At 38.4% G+C, this 12022-nt stretch overlaps 1 protein-coding gene and 1 pseudogene across 13 annotated transcripts in view; one reads left to right on the forward strand and one right to left on the reverse strand.

The window, feature by feature from the left end:
• The window catches only part of AVL9 (AVL9 cell migration associated), a 93238-nt gene that overhangs the window by 75216 nt on the left and 6000 nt on the right, over positions 1-12022 (forward strand). For 4 of the 12 annotated variants that reach the window (XM_005249668.3, NM_015060.3, XM_005249670.3 and 1 more), the window contains exons 12-15: positions 2495-2714; positions 5251-5368; positions 9515-9568; positions 10098-10186. In XM_005249668.3, coding sequence (XP_005249725.1) covers positions 2495-2714; positions 5251-5368; positions 9515-9568; positions 10098-10186 — 481 coding nt within the window. Of the gene's footprint in view, positions 1-2405; positions 2715-5022; positions 5111-5250; positions 5369-9514; positions 9569-10097; positions 10187-12022 lie in introns of those variants that run through there. The other 8 variants (XM_005249669.3, NM_001410870.1, XM_047420069.1 and 5 more) reach the window with 4 other exon arrangements.
• DPY19L1P1 (DPY19L1 pseudogene 1) overlaps positions 10235-12022 on the reverse strand; it is a 138230-nt pseudogene continuing 136442 nt past the window's right edge. The window contains exons 16-17 of the transcript NR_036680.1: positions 10868-10960; positions 10235-10609 (exon numbers count right to left, since the gene is read on the reverse strand). The product of NR_036680.1 is annotated as a DPY19L1 pseudogene 1 (transcript). The remainder of the gene's footprint in view (positions 10610-10867; positions 10961-12022) is intronic.

Genomic DNA, 12022 nt, shown 5'->3' on the forward strand with positions numbered 1-12022 from the left:
CACCTCCTGGGTTCAAGCAATTCTTCTGCCTCAGCCTCCTGAGTAGGTTGGATTACAAGTGCCCGCCACCACGCTCGGCTAATTTTTTCTATTTTTAGTAGAGATGGGGTTTCACCATGTTGGCCAGGCTGGTCTCGAACTCCTGACCTCAGGTGATCCACCCACCTCGGCCTCCCCAAGTGCTGGGATTACAGGCGTAAGCCACCGCGCCCAGCCTGAAATAATTTTTGAGAAATTTTATGAGGCTCGGCGCAGTGGCTCACGCCTGTAATCCCAGCACTTGGGGAGGCCGAGGTGGGTAGATCACCTGAGGTCAGGAGTTCGAGACCAGCCTGGCCAACATGGTGAAACCCCATGTCTACTAAAAATACAAAAAAATTAGCCAGACATGGTGGTGCATGCCTGTAGTCCCAGCTACTCGGGAGGGTGAGGCAGGAGAATCACTTGAACCTTGGAGGTGGAGGTTGCAGTGAGCCAAGATTGCACCACTGCACTCCAGCCTGGGTGACAGAGTGACCCTGTCTCAAAAAAAAAAAAAAAAAAAGCCAGCTGCAGTGGCTCAAATCTGTAATCCCAGCACTTTGGGAGGCTGAGGCGGGTGGATCATGAGGTCAGGAGTTCAAGACCAGCCTGCCCAACATGGTGAAACCCCGTCTCTACTAAAAATACAAAAATTAGCTGGGCATGGTGGCAGGTGCCTGTAATCCCAGCTACTTGGGAGGCTGAGGCAGGAGAATCGCTTGAACCCGGGTGGTAGAGGTTGCAGGGAGCCGAGATCGTGCCACTGCACTCCAGCTTGGGCGATAGAGTGAAATTCTGTCTCAAAAAAAAAAGAAGAAAAAAAATTCACCCACACTAAGGTTTTTGTAGTTTCTGACAGAAAGTATGAAAACATGTTTCTTGGGTGAATGGTTATAATATAATGAAAGTCCAGGATTCAAAGATGTATTTATTATAATCCCAAATTTGAAGAAGAAAAAGTACATTTTCCAAGACAGGAGGATACAGATGGGAGGACCATAAAGCTGCTTCAACATTATTGGTTACATTCTAGTTCTGTAGTTGGTTGGTGGGTGCGTAGGAATTTTTTTTATTATTATACTTCAAAACTAACCTGTACGTTACATGTATTTTTTAGTATATCAAATATTACATAATAAGACATTCTAAAGTATCTGGCCGGGCACAGTGGCTCACGCCTGTAATCCCAGCACTTTGGGAGGCCAAGGTGGGCGGGTCACAAGGTCAAGACATCGAGACCATCCTGGCTAACATGGTGAAATCCCATCTCTACTAAAAATACAAAAATTAGCTGGACATGGTGGCAGGTGCCTGTAATCCCAGCTACGCGGGAGGCTGAGGCAGGAGAATCGCTTGAACCCGGGTGGCAGAGGTTGCAGGGAGCCGAGATCGTGCCACTGCACTCCAGCTTGGGCGATAGAGTGAAATTCTGTCTCAAAAAAAAAAGAAAAAAAAAAAATTCAGCCACACTGAGGTTTTTGTAGTTTCTGACAGAAAGTATGAAAACATGTTTCTTGGGTGAATGGTTATAATATAATGAAAGTCCAGGATTCAAAGATGTATTTATTATAATCCCAAATTTGAAGAAGAAAAAGTATATACATTTTCCAAGACAGGAGGATACAGATGGGAGGACCATAAAGCTGCTTCATCATTATTGGTTACATTCTAGTTCTGTAGTTGGTTGGTGGGTTCGTAGGAATTTCTTTTATTATTATACTTCAAAACTAACCTGTAAGTTACATGTATTTTTTAGTATATCAAATATTACATAATAAGATATTCTAAAGTATCTGGCCGGGCATGGTGGCTCACGCCTGTAATCCCAGCACTTTGGGAGGCCGAGGTGGGCAGGTCACAAGGTCAAGACATCGAGACCATCCTGGCTAACATGGTGAAATCCCATCTCTACTAAAAATACAAAAAATTAGCCGGGCGTGGTGGTGGGCGCCTGTAGTCCCAGCTACTCAGGAGGCTGAGGCAGGAGAATGGCATGAACCCAGGAGGCAGAGCTTGCAGGGAGCCAAGATTGTGCCATGGCACTCCAGCCTGGGCGACAGAGCAAGACTCCGTCTCAAAAAAAAAAAAAAAAGAATATTCTAAAGTATCTGCACGCAAAAGAAAAAGTATTTAAGGAATTATACTTGTTAAATGTGTTCATTTCTGCTAGTGAAATAAAGGTGATTTTTACATGTATTTCTATATTTTCCCAAATATTTGCAATCTAGGTGAGTAATTTTGTAATTTAAAATACTATATTTATGTGTGTATTTTCTAAAAACAGAAAATGAGCATTTTATAAATAGAAAGAAAACTTCAGTGTACAAACCTCTTTCTTAGACTCACCTTTTGAGAATGCCATTATTCATATTTTTTATTTCCAGCTCCACCTTCCCCGTAGTTACTCTGTAAAGTGTGGCATGGATGTCTGCGTGAATGCCCAGACTCTGACTTGTACCTGGATACCCTCTAGGTAGAAGAAGCTCTGATCCAGATCCATGATCCAGAACTCAGGAAGCTGCTTAACCCAACCACTGCAGACCTAAGGTTCGCAGACTACCTAGTGAGGCACGTGACTGAGAATCGGGATGACGTCTTCCTAGATGGCACGGGCTGGGAGGGAGGTGACGAATGGATCCGGGCCCAGTTTGCGGTCTACATTCATGCCCTGCTGGCTGCCACACTGCAATTAGGTAAGAAACCACACGGAGCCTACAGCTACCTGTTTTATTATAATTTTTCATTTTGTAACATTTATGAGATTTTGGATTGCACAATAAATACATATTCCTTATAGAAAAATTACCAGTTATTCCCTCATACAAAGATAGCCACTTTTAACGTCTTTAGTACTTTATAGCCTTGCAAATCTTTTCCTATGCATGTATTTTGGATTTTGGTTTTATGGTACTTTTGGTGGTCCTTTTACAAAAATGGATCCCTTTATACATGTTTTCTGAAACTATTACTTTATAATAGAAACAACACATACCAACATAACATGAACATATATCATCACTTTTACATGACTGCTTCATATTCATCAGTATTTGGCAGCTGTTTGTGAATACTGCCACATGTTTTTTAAGATGTATAAAGGGAGAAAGAATATAAAAAATAGAAATCATTGAAAATCGTGTTGTAAATGATTAAATCTTCAAATTTATAACCCATTCTAAGAAATATTATTATTCGTATTAAATGGTTAAAATGGAGCAGGTAAACATGGAGTTACTCCTGCATTAAAACTATCTCATTCTCCTTGGGAAAGAAATATATAAATAGTGAAAATGGAGCTCTGCAGTGAGCTTTTCACCTTGGACATTTGGCAGATATTTATTAGAGTTGTTAAAAATGTGTTGAGCTTGTGTTTTTGTTTCAGTTAACTAACCATTATTTTTTTAATTGTGATGAAATACACATAGCATAAAATTTACCATCTTTACCATTTTTAAATGTACAGTTCCACAGTGGCATTAGATACATTCATTGTTGTATCAGTAGATTTTTTTAATCAACACCACCACCACATGCTCCCAGGTTAGTTGTTTACAGTGCACATAGGAGTTTTAAAGTAGGTTTCGGGAGAGTTTTTCATTTGTAAAAGACAGCTGAGGAACAAGCCCTCGTTTGTTAATGAGATATTTTTAAATGTTTGCCACCACTAACAATGTAGCAGCTGAGACACCAAAATTAAATCCTTTAACCCCAAATCATTTGGTAATCTAGAAAGAAAACTTCAGTCTCCACTGCCATGTAGCTTAATTAATTTGCTTTTAAGCAAATTAATTAATTTGCTTTTTTAAAAATATTTGCCCAGGAGGCTGTAAGCACTGAATAATAGTAGCTCACTTTTTTTTTTGAACATTAAATATATGCAGGGACCAGTGTTCTGAGCACTTTACATCTAGTAATTCATTTCATCCTTACAGCAATCCTGAAGGTAGGGACCTTGTCATTGCCTTTTACAGAAGAGAAAATGAAGCTCACAGAGGTTCATAAGAGGCTTAGGTGGGATCTGATCCCAAACAGTTTGGCTTAGGCCCATACTCTTACAAGTAACAAGGTCAAAAGAGGAAATTCAGCCCAATGAACTGCTTGAGGAAGTGTTCTTAGAACAACTTCTTTATGCTGTGTATGGAACTGTGTATCTCATTCATTTCCTTTCCTAGCAACAAAAGGTACTTTGTATTTCACCTTCAAAGTAAACAACATGCAATTAATATATGAAGTAATAGCCATTTGTATCAGTTCTCCAAACCATTTCTAATCTTCCAAGCGGAGGAAACACATATGGATGCTTTCCCATGGTATTGATAAAGCTGAAAACTTTATCAGTTTTCAGTATATTCTTTTAAGACTTTTTTTGTTTTGTTTTGTTTTGTTTTTTGAGACAGAGTCTCGCTCTTGTTGCCCAGTCTGGAGTGCTGTGGCATGATGTTGGCTCACTGCAACCTCCATCTCCTGGTTTCAAGTGATTCTCTTACCTCAGCCTCCCGAGTAGCTGGGACTACAGGTACCCGCCACCACGCCTGGCTAATTTTTGTATTTCTGGCAGAGACAGGGTTTTGCCATGTCGGCCAGGCTGGTCTCGAACTCCTGACCTCCAGTGATCCGCCCTCCTCGACCTCCCAAAGTGCTGGGATTACAGGCATGAGCCACTGCACCTGGCCTTTTTTAAGTGTTTTTGACAGTGAAATGCTAGGAAATTCAAGAATGAAACACCAAATAAAGTCCAAAGGAGAGAACATCATGACTGAAAGAACCAATTTGTGTATTCATTCTTAATCTTTTTTTTTGTAGAAAAATGACATTTATAAAAAAGTAGAAAGATATCCCAATTGCCTGTGCCATACATATCAATCAGTATGTTTATTCACTGTCAAGCATACAGTTTTTGATTAATTAATACTATCCTCATAATGGTAAGGAGAATATGGAAATATTTTGGAGTTGTAAGGAACCTTGGAAAATATCTGGCTCAACCCTCTTATTTTCCAGTTAGGAAAATGAAGTTCTGAGTGATTAAGTGACTTGCCAAAGGCCACATAGCTCCTTAACAGGATTTCTGGAACTAGACCCAAGTTTCCTGACATCTGGTAGGCTATCTCCCCACAAATATGGGAGGGCAAGGGGATAAAGTCGTTCCTTTACCCTTTTTGGTTATAATCTTCACATCCCTGAATGGCTACAGCCCAGCTCAACTTCTTTCAAACATTTACTTGACAGACAATGAAAAGATATTATCGGACTATGGGACAACTTTTGTTACAGCATGGAAGAATACTCACAACTACAGGGTGTGGAACAGCAACAAGCATCCAGCACTTGCAGAAATAAATCCAAAGTAAGCGCGTCCTCTGAAGATTGATAGTACATAAATGGTTGGTTTACGAGTGCCCAATACAGAGAAAAATCTATTTTAACTTTGATATTGTGAATATCCTCAAGAATCCCCTTAAGTAGGTCATAAAAAGGCTCCCAAATATAGAGAAACAGCTTAGAAACTGCTTCCATATTCAGATTGTTATACAAAAAGCATGAGCATTATGGGAAGCACTAACATTTCCCTGGCTCTCGATGTGATTCAGAGAGGAAGTCCCTGGCACTTGGTGATGCTCAGTACACAATGATTCTTCTCTTTCTCCCTGGAGCTGTTCTTTAACAGAATGGTTCAACAAGATAGAATCCTAGAAGGAAATACCACTGGTTTACTGCATGAGTAAAATTAGGAGGCAATTTTAAAACATGACATATGCGAAACCAATTAAAGTTAATATCTGAAGCTGGGCTCATGCCTGTAATCCCAACACTTTGGGAGGCCGAGGTGGGCAGATCACCTGAGGTCGGGAGTTCAAGACCAGCCTGGCCAACATGCTGAAACCCATCTCTACTAAAAATACAAAAAAAATTAGCCAGACGTGGTAGTGGGCGCCTGTAATCCCAGCTATTTGGGAGGCTGAGACAGGAGAATCCCTTGAATCCAGGAGGTAGAGGTTGCAGTGAGTCAAGATCATGCCATTACACTGCAGCCTGGGTAACAAGAGGGAGACTTTGTCTCAAAAGAAAAAAAAAAGTTAATATTTGGACTCCTGGATATATGGTCATACCTGGTTTCCACATCAGACTCTAAAATTCAACAAAACTTAATACCTGCTGTAATACTGAATGTTGATGATGAAGGCTTTATCCCACATAGGCATAAAAGGCCATTGATTACAGCCATTATGAAACAATAACATCTGAGTGTGAATACAACAGAGAGCATTGAAGGAGATCAGTTGATATAGTGTATACAGGAACTTGTTTTCTAAATTAAAAGATAAGGCCAGGCACAGTGGCTCACGCCTGTAATCCCAGCACTTTGGGAGGCTGAGGCGGGTGGATCACAAAGTTAGGAGATCAAGACCATCCTGGCTAATGATGTGAAAACCCTGTATCTACTAAAAATACAAAAAATTTAGCCAGGCGTGGTGGTGGGTGCCTATAGTCCCAGCTATTTGGGAGACTGAGGCAGGAGGATTACTTGAACCCACGGTTTCGAGGCCAGCCTAGGCAACATAATGAGACCCCATCTTTTAAAGTACTAGGTTCAACACCAATTTTGGTGAATTTAATCATCATACTTGGCTATAGCAGAAACCTATATTGCCATTTGAATATAGTAAAAACAGAATTAAAAGGCAAAACCATTTTAATAGTATTAAATGAAAGGGCTGAGTTCAAAGTGTTCTCCCTCACTGACAACAAAGTCTCTATTCTCAGCGTGCTGAAGGGAAACAGATGTGGAGGTGCTTAGCAGGGTGGCACTCACAGGGTGGTGCTGGGAAGGCAGGTCGGCCTTGACTGTCCAAGCAGTCAACATGCAGAGCCATCCTAGTCTCCTCCCTGGGCCCTGCACTGGGAGGCCTGGTCAGATCTTTATCTGTCACTACATCTGGTGCTTTTAACTTGAACCAGCTCTATAGATGTTAGTGCAGGTCCAAAAGAGACTTAGCTGAAATGAGTTTTAAAAGGATTATGAAATAGTGCTTAGAAGAACATGTGAAGAAGTTGAGCCTATTTAGATTGAAAAGAAGGCTGAAGAAGGACTTGTTAACTGAAATATATAGGTAGGGAAATCATGCAGATATGATAGTGCAGGCCAAGGGAGAACTTCCCTTTCATCCTCTGAAGGGTCACTGGAAAGTCAGCTGACAAAAGGCAGATTAATAGGAGAAATGGCATGCAAATTTGTTAATGTGCATGAGGGAGAGCTACAGGGTGATTGGACTGTGTACCCAAGCTCGTGTACCCAACCCGCCAACAGGGTACACAAGTTTATATACATACCATCTTCAGGTTACAGAAAGAATTGGGGGCTTGGAGCATGGCCAAAAACAGGTTATGGTGGTAAGTCAGGTTATAGTGGCAAGACAGGTTGTGGGAGGGAGAAGAAAGGAGGCCTGGCTAGCAGAGTTGGTCTTGTTATAGAGATAAAACTTCACAGGTAGCAGCCCTCAGAGAGAATTGATGGTAAATGTTTCTTTCAGACCTTTAAAGGTGTCAGACACTCGGTTCATCTTTCCTATATCTTGATATTGGAGGGCCTCAGAGCAAACCAGGCTGCATTAATGCAGATTTTCTCTACAGATGCAAATCTACCCCCAAAAAGACAGCTTTTCAGTAATTCTTGCATTTCCAGCCTTTCTGAATAGCCATCTTGAAATACATCAAAGAAGTATATTTTGGGGTGAAATAGTTTAGTTTTCTTCAATAGCAAATTTTCAACATTTTTACCAAATTAAAAATAACAAATGTGGCCAGGCCTGGTGGCTCACGCCTGTAATTCTAGCACTTTGGGAGGCTGAGGTGGGCGGATCACGTGAGCTCAGGAGTTCAAGACCAGCCTGGGCAACATGGTGAAACCCTGTCTCTACTAAAAATACAAAAAAGTAGCCGGGTGTGGTGGTACATGCCTGTACTCCCAGCTACTCAGGAGGCTGAGGCAGGAGAATCGCTTGAACCTGGGAGGCAGGTTGCAGTGAGCTGAGATTGCGCCACTGCACTCCAGCCTGGGTAACAGTGAGACTCTGTCTCAAAAAAATAAAATGAATGCTAGACGTCTGTTGTTATCAGAGGGTGTCATTTAGAAATATTTCAAACTAATTATAACTTTTGAGAAGTATGAAACCCTTTAACTCCTAAAGATTAGGGAAGGCAGCATTCTAACTTAACAAGCAGCAGGTGTATTTCATCCCTTAAATACAGCCATGCCAGGAACACAGAGAATGATCAAGTGATGTGTCCGTATTTCAATCCTGTGATTCAGGAATCCAAGAAGAAGAAGTGTCACATATACTTACTTTGGGCCATGAAGAGTAGTTTGTTATCATTTGAAGAACCATTAATTTTATAAGCAGCTATGGATTTTACTAGGGTCACTTTCTTTGTTAGACCTTGACAGAGGGACCCCTGAGATAAGAATTGGATATTTATTGACCCCTCCATTTTATGTGGTTAAGTTGCTTGATTTTTTTCCTACTGCCTGTATAATTGCAGAATGCCTGATTTTATATATATATATGTATTATATATATTATATATTATATATATTTTATATAATATATATAACACATATTTTATATAATATATAACATATATAATATATGTTATATAACATATTATATGTTATATATTATATATAATATGTTATATATATAATATATATATTATATATAATATATTATATATTATATATAATATATTATATTATATATAATATATTACATATTATATATTATATATTATATTATATATTATATATTATATTATATATTATATATTATATATTATATTATATATTATATTATATATTATATATTATATATTATATATTATATTATATATTATATATATATAATACACTTTTTTCTTTTAATATAATGGAAATAGGGAAGTCTGAATAATGTATTTTCTTACAAAAATAATGATAGTGCTGTTTTTTTTTAAGACCTGCCTTTTGAGTTGCTTTTCTAACAGAAAGTAGAGATTTTGTTGATCCATCCACAAATCTTTGCATAACCAATAGCACACATTTATAAGATGGCCAGGATCAAGGTATGATCTATGACCATGTCCTAAAACCAGTGACTCACCTTGACTGTCCTGGGGAGCTTGTAAAAAATGTGTTGATGTTTGAGCCCCACCCAAGACAGACCAAATAAATTAGAATGTCAGGATAGCACTAAAACAGGCTATACACACACAAAACAGACAACACACCTGTTTTACAAGTGAGGAAACTAAAGCTCAGAGGGGTTAAGTAATCTTTTCTGGATGTCGTCACTGTAAGTGGAGAGCTGTGACCAAAGCCAAGTTTCCCGATACCAAACACAGCACTACCACCCAGCTGTGTTGTCCATGAGAAGTTTACTAATATTTTCTTGTGATAACTCTTTTTGCAGCCTTTTTGGTAAAATACTGATAGTTTAAACTCAAACTTTTTTTACAGCCATCCATTTCAAGGCCAATACTCAGTATCAGACATGAAGTTAAGGTTCTCACAGTAAGTACTTAGAGAAAATACTGGGAAAATTCTTAAGTCTGAATTTATGCCATGTGTTTCATTGCTAATTGGGAATTGTTTTTCTCTACTTGATAGACTTATGCTTCAAATAGTAACCAAATATGTGCATAACATTCTTTAGCTCAGCAGTGTGTATGTTTCAAAGTGAGAACACCACTGTTTCATACAGGATGGTGTGAACTAATAACAGGATTTACCATTTTTATTTTGGTGAAGTGCTTTTAGCAAGCCGTGGCTGTCGGAGAGATGCAGCCATACATACATCCTTATGTCCTCACCACTTTTTGGTTCATCTGTATGTTCTTCTCGTGTATTCTGAAAATGCACATGCTTAAAAGGTTAATAAATTAATTCATAACAAATAATAATTTAGCTTCTTTTCTCAGTAATTCTAATTTTGGATGGTTACAGAGTGACTATTGTGTGTGTGTCTATATGTGTCTGTGTGCGTGTGTGAGATTTTTTTAAAATTGTACCTAACACTTCTTTTATCTTATCTTTTACCCAGTTCTGTTCAGAATAGTGAACGTGGCAAAAAAATTGGAAACGTCATGGTCACAACTAGCCGGAATGTTGTACAAACAGGAAAAGCTGTTGGTAAGACATGCCTTTAGCCAGGAACAAATTGGAATCACAACACATCCATTTTCTATCTTTAATATGTAATTGATAAAACAAACATAAAGTTGTAAAGATCTGTGTTATCACATAGTAATACAAGAGTTTTTTAAATTTTTGTCATATTCATTTGAAAAATTCCAAATTCCAAATGGTCAAACTCCATTATCTAATAGAGAGTGACAAAATTTTCTGATGAAGTCACTGTTTTGCTACCAAGATTCAAGCTGCACCAGAGTTTTCTTCCCCCATTCCCTGTGCTGTCCACAGTTCTTTATAAATGGCAGAGACTCATAATAAAAGTAGGTATTAGGAACTGCTATCCTCTAAGGTAGTATTACACAATAAAGAAAATGAAGCCAACAGTTGGTTTTTCAAAAAGATCAACAATATTTATAAAATCTGGTAAAGATAAAAAGAAAGAAGGTACAAATTACCAACGTTAGGGATGAAAGAGGGACATTACTGTAGCTCTTACAGAAATTAAAAGAACAGAAAATAGGGGAATATTGTGAACAACTTTATGCTAACCAGTTTAACAACATAAATGAAATATACAAATTTTTTTAAAGATTCGCATTACCAACACAGTTGCAAAAAGAAAATATGAATAGCCCTATTATCTATTAAAGAAATTGGGCCGAATGCAGTGGCTCATACCTGTAATCCCAGCACTTTGGGAGGCTGAGGTGAGAGGATTGCTTGAGTCCAGGAGTTCAAGACCAGCCTGGGCAACATAGTGAGACCCCATCTCTAAAAAAAAATTTAAAAAGTCAGTAGGCATGGTGGTGTGTGCCTGCAGTCCCAGCTACTTGAAAGGCTGAAGTGGGAGGATTGCTTGAGCCCAGGAAGTCAAGGCTGCAGTGAGCAGTCCAGCCTGGGTGACAGGGCAAGAGTCTTAAAGAAAGAAAGAAATTAATTGAATTTAACGTGAAAAGCCTTGCCATAAGGTTTTTAATTTAAACCAGGCTGCCCAGGTGGCTTCAGTTTGAACTCTGTCAAATGTTTAAGGAAGAAATACTAGTTTTACACAAAATCTTTAAATAAGGTAATACTCCCCAACTCATTGGATGAGGCCAATATTAGTATCAAAGTCAGACAAATGGTAGCATGCTCTTCTGCACCTAGCTGTTTTCGCTTAAAATATTTTGAATATTGTTCCACATCAGTTCTAAAATTTTTCATTCCTTTTCTATATTTTTAACTTTTTATTTTGATGTAGTTTCAAACCTGAACATTGCAACAGTGCAAGAAACTCCCAATTATCTTCTGATTCACCAATTATTTACATTTTGCCCCATCTGCTTTGTCATACAATGTGTTGTAAAAATAGGGCATTACTACTTCCCTAGCTTCTGAAAGAGGTTGACTAACCGTTACTGAACACAATTCAAAAGCCCCAGAACTAAGTAATCTTTGTGTAGGTGTCCTTATATCCCTAGTTTTCTGAATACCTAGAGAGAGACAGAAAACTCTACAGACTCATTTGTAAAGACAACACACAGCGCTACCACTAGATTAGTTTTATTGCAAAGGAATGGAATTTAGCACACAAACATTTATTTCCAAACAATATGCCTTTGGCTTATTTTGAATTTTTATTTTTTAATAGAAAAACTATGCTATATTATAGATTATTATAGATACATCATTATACGTTATTATTTTTTAGTGATGCTGCTACTGATAGTTAAATTCTAAAGCCAAATCTCTTCTATACTCTTCTGTCCAAGAATAGTGGGAGTGTATTAGTCAACTTAAATAATTTCACTTAGCATCACCTTTTTTTCCTGAGACAGGGTCTCACTCTGTTGC

Source organism: Homo sapiens, chromosome 7 (genome assembly GCF_000001405.40).
Source record: "Homo sapiens chromosome 7, GRCh38.p14 Primary Assembly".
In the NCBI taxonomy this organism is placed as follows: Eukaryota; Metazoa; Chordata; class Mammalia; order Primates; family Hominidae; genus Homo; species Homo sapiens.